Here is a 12,262-nt window from a genome sequence, read left to right on the forward strand (position 1 = left end):
CAAAACTATTTTTTTTAAAAAACCTGTAATCTGTTAACCTCCCATCCATTCTGAGAAAGCATTAGTGAGCTTTTTGAAGTCTAGATAAGACCCGGCAGTTGACAGAGTAAATGAAAATACATTTGAGTGCAGAACTGAAAAAAAATCATTGAATTTACACTTAAGACCAACGTATTTGACAAAGATAATTGGGCACCTTTAGAACTCTTTGTTTTCTATCATTAAGTGCCCTTTGATAATGAAGCCAAGAGGGAAGGAGCATTAGAGTATATTTTAAATCCCTGATACATATCCATTGCCAAAAATGTTTTGTTTTCTCTAATTCCTAACCAGTTTCTCTTGAAGTACATTATAAAACATTTTTAAATCAAGATGGAATAAAATACTACTCATCAGTTGACACATTGGAAGCAGATGTTCTACTGTGTAGCGTTTTTAAGGAAAAAAAATACTTTGCCCTATTGGATCATTGCCTAAGCAGGGAAGGGCTTAGGGGCCCTTGCCCCTCAAAGGTGACTGCACAGCACCCACAAGGGACCATTTCCAGATCCTTTTCTTCACTGTGTCAGGCACTGAATTGACAGGAAAAGGGAAAGGAGGTATGCAGTACTCCCTGCCCCCACCCTCACCCTACCCTCAAACTTCTTTCAGGCAGCCTGAGCTCTTGCTTGTTCTACCAAAGAGACTTAAGGATCACTATTCTCTTCCCTTTATTGAAGGCACCTCAAAGTGATAATACTGAGTGTCAGCTATTCTCCTTCCTCCCAAAAAATATAAAATAAAAAATGTCAGAATTTGCTTATTTTTATTTTGTTTGAGAACCTCAAATTTTCTAGATCACATTCTCCCTTTTTTCTTTTCCTAAGAGAGGGTACAACTGTTTTCCCCAGGGAAGACAAGAGTCAAGTCTCTGCATTCTTTCACCACCAAATAGCATCCTAGGTTCAGCAAAGCTTCAGGCCTGCAAGGATTCACCCATCAACCCAGAAAAAGGAATTTCCTTTCCCATAGAATCTGGTTTTTTTCATTCCTTACAGGGTAATGTTGCTCTCTTTCCCAAGACGTGGTATCCAGGATCTGATAGCTTGAGTTTCATGAAGCTTTTTATTCCCTCATTCTTTCCTAGTCATAGCTTTTCCCCTTCTTATCCTCCCCTCAGGACTCTTAGCTCTTATCCTTCTTCTGACTGGCCATCCTTTTTAATCAAGGGTTGCACTGCTATCCCATCTTCCACACCCCTTCCCACTTTTTTTCACGGGATAACTTGGATTCAGGGTTATGGTCTCTATCTGAACAGTTTCCATCTTGCTTTCCCTAGAACAGCAGTCAGGAATACAGAAGTTACAGCTATAAACAGCAAGGTCAAGAGTCCTGGTCAAATACCAGAGAAACTGATAGCAGACTCTCCAGGACCACCTTCTACAGGGCTGCATAGGTCTACATGAGATCCCTCAAACAGATGCATCCTTCTGTTGGGATATGTACATTGGCCAATTCTAGACTCAGCAACTTGTTTCATCTGAAAATCTTTCTAGAACTAAGAGGAATCAGGATTTTCTCCAAGCATTTTAAAGATTCTAACAAAGGGTCGTGATGTAATTGGATATTGATGGGTGTTGATAACTTTAGCAAAAAGGGGGAGGAATATAGTCATCTCTGGGTAGAGATCCATTATCAGGCAGATGCATTAAGATAACACACTTAGCAAGAATATTGGACTCTGAAGCTGAAAATTCACAATAGTAGTCTTTGCACTAGATAACCCAGACACGACTTTCAAAAGTGGGTGTTTATGTCTTTGTTCCTGAGATAAAACATAATTTTCCCTACTTCTACTTAAGATACACCGGAAGACTCTAGCAAGATGCTTTTAGCCTCATCTCATCTGGCATAGGAGTGTGCCTTTCTTCATCCTCCCTTAAATCCCAGCATTCTAGAAAAGCCCTACATTTGGAAATGACTTAAAGTAATAATCTCTTTTGAACAGATGGGAATTTTTTTTCTCCCAGTCATGGACCTAGCTGCCTGAGGCCTTCAGGGATTCACTATCTTCTTCAATAAAGGCTATGTTCTTTGTCTCTTCACTCAAGTCTTGGGCCCTCTTCTTTACGGCCTGGCTCTTGACCTGATAGTGCTGATCAAGTGGGATGGTTTCTTCTACATTTCAAAAAGTTCTCCTAATGCGCTACTGCACAAAGAGTATCCCACAGACCAGCTGCTAGTCTGAGAACTATTTATCACATGTTTACAACAAGATAAGGAGTATTGTCCTGAATGTAAATTAACCATGTCACTAAACACTCTGTTTGTTCAACTGACTTGTTCCTTTTAATAGAAAGACTTTGTTGAAGAAGGAAATGAGGAATTGATTTACATTCTGGTGAAAGTTCCTTATCTTTTTATGGTCCAGTACTTTGAATAGAACTCTCTAGAGGTCTTGTAACAGACCATTTTAGGCATGCTTATCTTCAGAAATGAAGCAGGCTATGTTTTATCTTCAGCGCCTTTTATTTATTATTATTATTTTTTGAGATGGCGTCTCGCTGTGTCACCCAGGCTGGAGTGCAGTGGTGATCTCGGCTCACTGCAAGCTCCACCTCCCGGGTTCACGCCATTCTCCTGCCTCAGCCTCCCGAGTAGCTGGGACTACAGGCACCCGCCACCACGCCCAGCTAATTTTTTGTATTTTTTTTTTTAGTAGAGATGGGGTTTCACCCTGTTAGCCAGGATGGTCTCAATCTCCTGACCTCGTGATCTGCCTGCCTCGGCCTCCCAAAGTGCTGGGATTACAGGCGTGAGCCACCGCGCCTGGCCCAATGCCTTTTATTATCTACTTTATTTGAACAAAAATGGTCCTACAGCTTGGTGGGTCAAAGTAAATATCACTTTCATTCCTGGGGCTCCTTCTTCCTTAATTAAAACTCACTGACTACTCCCATGTATTTCTCCCTTCTTGAAAAAGTATTTCAAAGCCAGGCGTAGTGGCTCACGCCTATAATCTCAGCACTTTGGTAATCTGAGATGGGTAGGATCACTTGAGCTCAGGAGTTTGAGACCATCCTGGGTAACATGGCAAGACCTGGTCTCTACAAAATATATAAAAATTTGCCAGCCGTGGTGGCTTGCACCAGTAGTCCCAGCTACTTGGGAGGCTGAGGCAGAAGGATGGCTTGAGTCCAGGAAGTCGAGGCTGGAATGAGCTATGATCACGCTACTGCACTGCAGCCTAGGTGACGGGGTAACACTCTGTCTCCAAAAAAAAAAAAAAAAAGTATTTCAAAATAATCCTATCTTCCCCTAGCAGACTTTCATCTTTCTCTCAAAGAAGTGTGGTTCCTACTTCTGTGTGTGGTTCCTACCCATGTTCTGTTAAGCAGCTTACCCAGAAGATACATGTCTAGTGATTAGGTTTCATTTAGACAAGAAGAGTTGGAAAAATCCAAGCCCTGATATATAACCTCTTTTCCACCAGAATTCTGAGAAATCTCTTCAACATGAGGTCTGATTTTTTTTTTAAACCTTCCTTCTTCCTTCCCCAACCTCTAACAGGAAGATTACCAGATACTTAATTGTAAGTAAAGGTCATTATTTGTAAGTATCACTGTTAGGTTGTAGAACAGTAGATTGCAACAGCCATTTTTTTGTGTCTGTGTGACTAGCTCCTATCAGAAGGAAACTTTTTCATTGAAACGTTTTCAATGGTTATGTTATAAAGAGGCAGAATTTTCCTTGAACTCTAAAATTACAGCCCACTTAGATAAAGGTAAAGGCAGACACAGTAGGAATGTTTACACATGTTCCCCTGTCTAGAATCTATAGGGGAACCATGTGGCCTTTACACCTCGACTGTTGCTTGACAGTAACAATTTGGTCCAGAAGCCTACAGCAGGTGTTCTCAGCTTGAGTTCACTTCCTACTTCCCAGGAGTCCAGCTGGCAGCCATTATTTTATTCTACCTTGAGAAGGCTAGTTTATTTATTGGTAGGCTTATTTGCTAGTAATAATTCATTGAGTACTTATTTACTAGGCTCCATTCTAAACACTTTACATTTCATTTAATTCTCATAGCATAGTTATTTATTATCCCTGTTTTACAGATGATAAAACTTTTTATAGTCCCAGGGAGATAAACATTAGCACAAAATCACACAGTTAGTGATAGAGCTGAGTCTATGTAACTCCAAAAGTGGTGGTTCTTCCAGTGCCCCATCCTGTTTTCTCTAGGATGCTTCATCCCTGCCATCTGTTTTATTTCCTGACTCTCTTAAAAGTCCTAGGCCAGACCTTCTCCAACATCTCACTTCCTCTCCCAAATCTCAGTGAAATTAGGCACTAGACATGGTTACCAAAGATCACTTAGTGGTTACCTGAAAAGTGCCTGCCCTCTTGTTTAGATGATAGAACACAAATGTATACAGGATCAAAGTTTAAATAAAAATGTTTAGATTGCACTAGGTAAACATCTATCCTAGCCATTGAAGATGATACATAGTCAAAGAATAAAAGTTATTCATAACTAACTTAAGCTCACTTTGTAGGGGGAGAAACTAATAAAATATGTAGCAAATGGAAACAAATTTAAAAATTTTTGTAAGTGAAAATTGTACTTAAGACTTTGATTCTTACAAAAATAATGTGTTTATTTTAAATAGCCCATCTCTGTAAGGCTCACTGTTATTTACTAAATGCTTTCTCATAAATTCACTCCACTGTTTTTTTTATTCACACAGAATTATTTCCTAACGGATGTTCAGCGTTCAAGAAAATTACTCCCAATATAGATGAAGAAGGAGCAATGAAAGAAGATGCTGGGATGATGGATGTCCATTATAGTGAAGTAAGGATTCCAGGGCCTGCATTGCCAGTTATATAAATTTCACTTCTTAAAATTCATATATATTAAACAATTATTACAGCTAACCTAATTTTGAAGGTAACTAAGGGTTAATGAACTTTAAGTATTAAAACTGTCCAGGGCAAAGATGTTCCTGTTTAGAGGGCCCTGTCTCTTGAACTGGTCCCATTGTCTAGTTTTAGAAATACAGCATTTGCCGTCCTCAAGTCACCATTCCAATAACTAGATAAGAGTCAACACATGTTGGAAATTTTTCCATAAAAAATAGAGTTAACATTGCTCTTTACTTCAACTAAGACAGACTATGCACAAAAGTATTTTTAAATGGAAAATTTCTGCTCTAAACACCACATGGATAGAAAACAGCTTTGGCTGTCAGTCAACCACCAAAGATTTATTGAACATTGACTTAACAGCAAGGCCTTGGACTTGGTGACCTAGGAGCTTTAAATAATTAAATATGATTAGTCCCTGACCTCCAAGGTCCACCTGAAGAGATAATACATGTACATGAAATGGAAAAAAGACTTTTGAATAATATTTGAATAATGCAGACAATATGTGCCATGCAAAGTCAAAGGTGAAAGATGCCTTAGAGCTCAGGTAAAATAAAGGAAGTATGATCAGAGAGGGATTGGAAGAATGAGGACACCCTGAAGGCATCCTAAGAGACAGGAGAAGGGCAGGGACCACGACTAAGAGGTAGGAAAGTGTAAGACATGTTTGAGGCACAGTGAGTGGAAGTGGATCCTTTTGGCTATAGCAGTAGGTTCCCATAGAGAAGAGTATTAGTTGAGGCCAGATTTTGAGAAACTTTCAATGTTTGGGCTTTATTCAGTAGAATATTAAATTGGCATCAAAGTCTTTTTTTTTTTTTTTTTTTTTTATGGAGTCTCGCTATGTCGCCAGGCTGGAGTGCAGTGGCGCAATCTTGGTTCACTGCAACCTCTGCCTCCCGGGTTCAAGTGATTCTCCTGCCTCAGCCTACCGAGTACCAGGGACTACAGGCGTGCACCACTATGCCCAGCTAATTTTTGTATTTTTAGTAGAGACAGGGTTTCACCATGTTGGCCAGGATGGTCTCGATCTCTTGACCTCATGATCCACCTGCCTTGACCTCCCAAAGGGCTGGGATTACAGGCATGAGCCACCGCACCTGGCCTCAAAGATTTTTGAGCAGGATGATGACTACATGAAAGCAAGGAAGAGGGAAGGCTAATTTGGTGATGATGTGGGAGATGTATTGAAGATACAGGGATAGGAGCTAGAGGCAGGGGCTAGAGAGAAGGCTGCCCTAATTATCCAGATACGAGTAGTTAAGGCTTAAACCAGGGTAGTGAAAGATTCAGGAAATAGTGTGAGGAAAAGATGCTGATTTGCTGGCTGTGGGAGGGGAAGGGTCAAAGGTAGCTCTAAGATTTCAGGTTTGGAGGTTAAGGGAAAATGATAGATGGATGGTTTTGCAGGAAAAGTGATGAATTTCATTTTATAGGTGAGTTGATTTTGATGTGAAAGCTTATCAAAATGGAAATAACCATCAAGCCATTAGAAATGTGGAACTGAGGCTGGGCGCAGTGTCTCACGACTGTAATCCCAGTACTTTGGGAGGCTGAGGCAGGTGGATCACCTGAGGTCAGGAGTTCGAGACCAGCCTGGCCAACATGGCTCTACTAAAAATACAAAAATTAGCCAGACGTGGTGGCACCTGCCTATAATCCCAGCTGCTCAGGAGGCTGAGGCAGGAGAACCACTTGAATTTGGGAGGTGGAGGTTGCAGTGACCCAAGATTGTGCTACTGTACTCCAGCCTGGGTGACAAAGTGAGACTGTGTCTCAAAAAAGAAAAAAAAAAGAAATATGAAACTGAATCTAAGGAGAGAGATTAGGGTTAGAAATACACATCTGGAAGTCATATCCTTATGAGGACCAAAGCAGACTGAATGTTAGACATAATAACGGCAAGTGAAGACCGGAGAATCAAGGACTGAACCATGGGGGAAAAGTTCACAAAGAGTGTGAACGTAGAAAACAAGAAAGAAACACAGAAAAGAGATTGAAGTTACAGTCCCATAAAATTACATTTCTTAAAAAAATTGTATTAAACAATGAGATGAAAATTACAGTGACACACTTCATAAACACTTTATGAATTGATTTTTTAAAATACACAAATCTCAACTTAGCTCTGGCTTATTTAGTTAAATTAATGATACACCTAGAAGCTTTACCTACTATTTCTACATAGTCTGTCTCCCTATCAGTAAAATAAGGACAATAATACTATCGTGGTCACTTCACAATACATGCGAAAACTTAAAAAGTCATGAAGTGTGAGAATAATGTCAGGTTTTATCATTGACCTACTTGGCAGTGAGATTTCTTAAAAGCAAGTTGGTGTCCTTTTACCCTCAGAACCTACAAGGATAGATACTTAAAATATGTTTGTTGAATTGATTGATCATAACAGAGATGCAAGATACTTGAATTTTTATTCCAGCTTAATTTTTGACTGTATAGCCTTGGACAAGTTAATTCATGTTTCTGGATATTAGTTAGATGATTTCCCAGAGACCTGCAGGTTTTACAGGCTGACAGCAGGAAGATTCAGAGGATTTCATGGGGCTTAACTGGTTCAGTACAACTGAACTTATATCCTTGCCTTCTAAACAGCAGCTTCAGTGTATTCATAGAAATGGCTTTGAGCTTGACCCTTTTTTATACTCTTAAGGAGAGCAATAACTTTTCTTAATAATCAAAAACTGTAATTAGTTTTCTGTATAAACACATTTGTTGGAAATCTTTTGGGTTCTACAAGTAATTTATACATACTTCTATTTGATATATACAGGTAGAATCATGTTTTACCAAGTGCCACTTTATTTTTCAGTTTGCATAATAAGGCTTCTTCCTTAAACCCTAGCCAATTAAAAAAACTGACACTGATTTAGAAGTTACATTGAAATGAAAAATACAAACAGTTGTCCATTTAGTGCTTGTATTTAAATATGTGAGTTAAACCGGTAATAACGCAATGTAACTTGTTTCCAAAAATGTATTTCTGACTTGATTTGCAACAGTTTTTTTTTTCTGCATGACACCACCTCAGGAGGTCCTGATGACGTGTGCCCCTGCAATCGATTTTAAACATATAATTAATATATAATTGGGCTGGGCGTGGTGGCTCACACCTGTAATTCCAGCAGTTTGGGAGGCCAAGGCAGGCAGATCACTTGAGGCCAGGAGTTCAAGACCAGCCTGTCCCCATGGTGAAACCCCGTCTCCACTAAAAATATAAAAATTAGCCGAGCGTGGTGGCACAGGCCTGTAATCCCAGCTATTCAGGAGGCTGAGGCACAAGAATCTCTTGAACCCCAGGGGCAGAGGTTGCAGTGAGCCAAGATCGTGCCACTGCACTGCAGCCTGGGCAACAGAACGAGACTGTGTCTCAAAAATAAAAATAAAAATGATATAATTAATATGTAATAAAATCTTAAACAATTTGATGAATTTTGACAGTTGTATACACCCATGTAACCTACCATCAGAAACAAAAAATAGAACATGCCCATTCCTTCGGGAAAGGTTCCCTTGTGCCCATTTCCAGTCAGGCTCCCCACCTCCACCATCTGATTTCTATCACCATGAATTAGTTTTTATGGCATAAAAATGGAATCAATCATTCAATATGTACCTTTTTTTAATCTGGCTTCTCTTGTTTAACCTAATGTTTTTGAGATTCATCCATATTGTTGGGTATATCAAAAGTTTGTTCTTTGTCTTTATATACAAATTTTAAATCCATTCAGTTGATGGATTTTGAATTGTTTCCAGTTTCAGGCTGTTACGAATAAGTCTACTTTAAACATTCCTATCTATGACTTATTGTTGACATATGCTTTTTTTCTCTTGGGTAAATACCTAGGAGTAGCATTGCTGAATCCTAGGGAAGATATATGTTTAACTTTTAAGAAATTTCCGAAGAGTTTCTCAAAGTGGTTGGACCGTTTTATACTGTTTGCCAGTAGTAGATGAGAGTTCTAGTTGCCCCACATCCTCCCTAGCATCTGATATTGCTGATCTTTTTAAATTTTAGCCATTCTATTAATATTAGGTGTGAATCAACATCTCATTGTGGCTTTTATTTGTATTTCCCTAATAACCGATGATGTCTACCACTTTTTCAGGTGTTCCTTGGCCTCTTTTGTATTTTCTTTTGTGAAATGTTTGTCTTTTATCCGTTTTAGAAATCACATTGCTTACTTTTTATTGTTGTTTTGTGGGAGTTCTTTCCTGGATATAAATCCTTTGTCAAGATATATGTGCTGTATATTTCTTTACCAGCTTCTGACTTGACCATTCACTTTCTTAATTGAGTCTGTGGTTGAGCAGAAAATTTTGGTTTTGGTTGTAATTGATGAAATCCAGTTTATTATTTTATAATAATTTGTTCTTTTTGTATCTGGTCCCAAAAATCTGTGCCTACCTCAAGATCCTGATAGTGTTGTCCTGTGTTTTCTCCTAGAAACTTGTTTCCGAGTTTTGTTTAGGTCTATAATATATTTAAAGTTCATTTGTGGAATGAAATAGAGGTCAAAGCTCTTTTTTTAAGACAGTTTTTTTTTTTTTTAAGACGTACCATTTGGGGAAAAACAAGACTTTCCTTTTGTCACGTTGAATTTACTTTGGCACCTTGGTCAAAAGTTCGGTTTTTCATATTTGTGTGGGCTATTTCTGGATTCTCGGTTCTCTTCCACTGATCTATTTGCCCATCTTGATGCCAATATCACACTTGATTACTATAACTTAAGTCTTGAAATCAAGTAGTGTTAGCCCTCCAGCTTTATTCTTTTTCAAAGTTGTTTTGGCTATTCTACGTCCTTTGAATTTCCATATAATCTTTAGAATCATCTTTTCTACTTCCTCAAAATAGCCTGAGAATGGAGAGTTTAACAATATTGAATTTCTCAATCAATGGACATTTATCTGGGTTATCTTTAACTGCCAATAATATTTTGTAGTTGTTAGGGTAGAAGTCTTGGGTTAGATTTACTGGTAGATATGTGATGTTTTGATGCTATTGTAAATAATATTGTTTGCTTTTATATTTTTATTTTTTATTATGTTGTTGCTAGTATATAGAAATATAATTGATTTTGTATGTTGATCTTACGTCCTGCAACCTTACTAAATCTGCTTATTAGTTTTCATAGTTTGTATGTCTTTTATGATTTTCTACATATACAATTATGCCATATGCACGGAACAATTTTACTTTTTCTAATCCTGTATGCTTTTTCTCTTTCTCTTGCCTTATTGTACTGGCTAGAACCTTCAGCATAATGTTGGATAGAAGTGGTGAGAGCAGACATTCTAACTTGTTCTCAATCTTAGGAGAAACATGTCTAGCCTTTAAGGTTTTTAGTAAATGCCCCTTATCAGATTGAGGAAGATCTCTTCTATTCTTTGTTTCTTGAGTTCTTTTTAAATATCATGAATGGGTGTTGAGTGTTGTAAATGCTTTTTTCTTGCATCTATTGAAAGAGATATAATTTTTCTTTTTTATTCAGTTTATGAGGTTGTATATTACATTGTTTTTTTTTTCTAATTGTAACCTAACTTTACATTCCTGGGATAATTCATACTAAGTGTGCACCTTATTTTTAATTCCCCCAATGTTTGTCCCAAAATTGCTGGAAATTTTAATTTGGCTAGCAGATGTTAATATACAGATGTTTTATTCAAGTAGCAACATTTATTTCACATATACTATCCAGTGACACTAAAATAATTACTGGAAAAGCCAATGTAAGTAAAATATTGTCCCTACTCTCAAAGAATCACAGCCTATTGGAAAAGTCAGATATGTAGATAATACGTAAATAATGTACAAATATAGTGATAAATCTTTGCCAAAAAAGTAGTGAAATAGAAAAAAAGATGTGTAGTGTCTTGCCTACCCTATATTGATAAGGAGAAGGATCCTGGAAAAGGTGATACCTAAAGTGTTTTAAAGAGATTAACCAAGTAGAAGGGATTAAAGGGAGGAGGGGCACAGCCTGAACAAAGACATAAAGCTAAGACACACCATTGTGCTTCAGGGAAACTGCTAGTAGTTCGCTGTTGTTATAACATAAAGTACAAAGTTTGGTATGATGAATGATGAGATTATGGAAGTATCAGCCACATCATTGCAAGCTTTATGTGCCACATGAAGGAGCGTGTCCGTTGTTCTGTGAGTGATGCGGAGCCATTGCCAGATTTTAAGAAAGGGAGAGTGGCACGCTCAGGTTTGCATTTTAATCAGAACCCTATGGCAGATGTGTGGAAGATGTATTTGAAAGGGCTAAGACTGGAGGCAGGAAGATAAATTAAGAAAAAACAATAGTGAAATTTTGCACCTTAGCAATGAGAGAAATGGAGAGAAAGGGTCAGATTTGAGAAATATTTAGGAAATAAAACTGGCAGGACTTGGTGATGAACTCATTAGAGAATGAGTAAAGAAAGAGGGTGTAATAGTTGCGTAGATATCTGAGCCTATTTGGGCTTCTATAACAAAATACCAGAGACTGGGTAGGTTATAAACAACAGAAATGTATTTTTCACTATACTGGAAGCTGAGTAGGTGAAGATAAAGGTGTTAGCCGACTTGGTGTCTGGTGAGGATCGACTTCCTAGTTCATAGATGGTATCTTCTCACTGTGCCCTTACGTGATGGAAGGGGGTGAGCTAACTCTCTTTTTATTAGGGTACTAATCCCATTCATGAGGGCTCTGCCCTCATGACTTAGTCATCTCCCAAAGTCTCCACCTCCTAATACCATCCCCTTGGGGGTTAGGATTTTAACATACGCATTCTGAGTACACAGAAACATTCAGGCTGTAGCACTAAGACTGCAATATCAAAGTACCACAAATTGGGTGGCTTAGAACAAGAGAAATTTATTGTCTCACAGTTCTAGAGTCTAGAAATATGCAGTCAAATTGTTTTCAGGGCCATGCTCCCTCTAAGACTCTGGGTAGAAGCCTTCTTTGTCTTCTGGTGGTAAGAGTTGTTCCTTGACTTCCCCTGACTTGTGGCTGCATCACTCCAGTCTCTGCCTCTGTAGTCTCATGGTGTTTTCCCTGTGTGTCTCTGTCTTCATATAAAGATACCAGTCATATTGGATTGGGGCCCACCCTACTCCAGTATTGCTTCATCATAAATGATCATATCTGCAATGACTTTATTTTCAAATAAGGTCACATTCTGAGGTACTTGGGGTTACAACTTCAACTTATCTTTTTAGGAGACACAATTCAACCCATAACAGACAATAAAGTCAAAACTGTGCTTAGTTTACTACCTAAGGGTCTATAGGATATTGCCACTGGTGAGATAGGAAACACAGGTATAAGAGCTAGAAGATGAA

The 12,262-nt window shown here is 38.3% G+C and overlaps 1 protein-coding gene across 6 annotated transcripts in view; it reads left to right on the top strand.

Annotated features, from left to right (window-relative positions):
* Positions 1–12,262, top strand: part of DOCK11 (dedicator of cytokinesis 11) — a 190,333-nt gene that overhangs the window by 162,141 nt on the left and 15,930 nt on the right. For all 6 annotated transcript variants that reach the window (XM_005262368.5, NM_144658.4, XM_011531276.4 and 3 more), the window contains one exon: positions 4,731–4,837. In XM_005262368.5, coding sequence (XP_005262425.1) covers positions 4,731–4,837 — 107 coding nt within the window. The remainder of the gene's footprint in view (positions 1–4,730; positions 4,838–12,262) is intronic.

Source organism: Homo sapiens, chromosome X (genome assembly GCF_000001405.40).
Source record: "Homo sapiens chromosome X, GRCh38.p14 Primary Assembly".
NCBI classification, from domain to species: domain Eukaryota; kingdom Metazoa; phylum Chordata; class Mammalia; order Primates; family Hominidae; genus Homo; species Homo sapiens.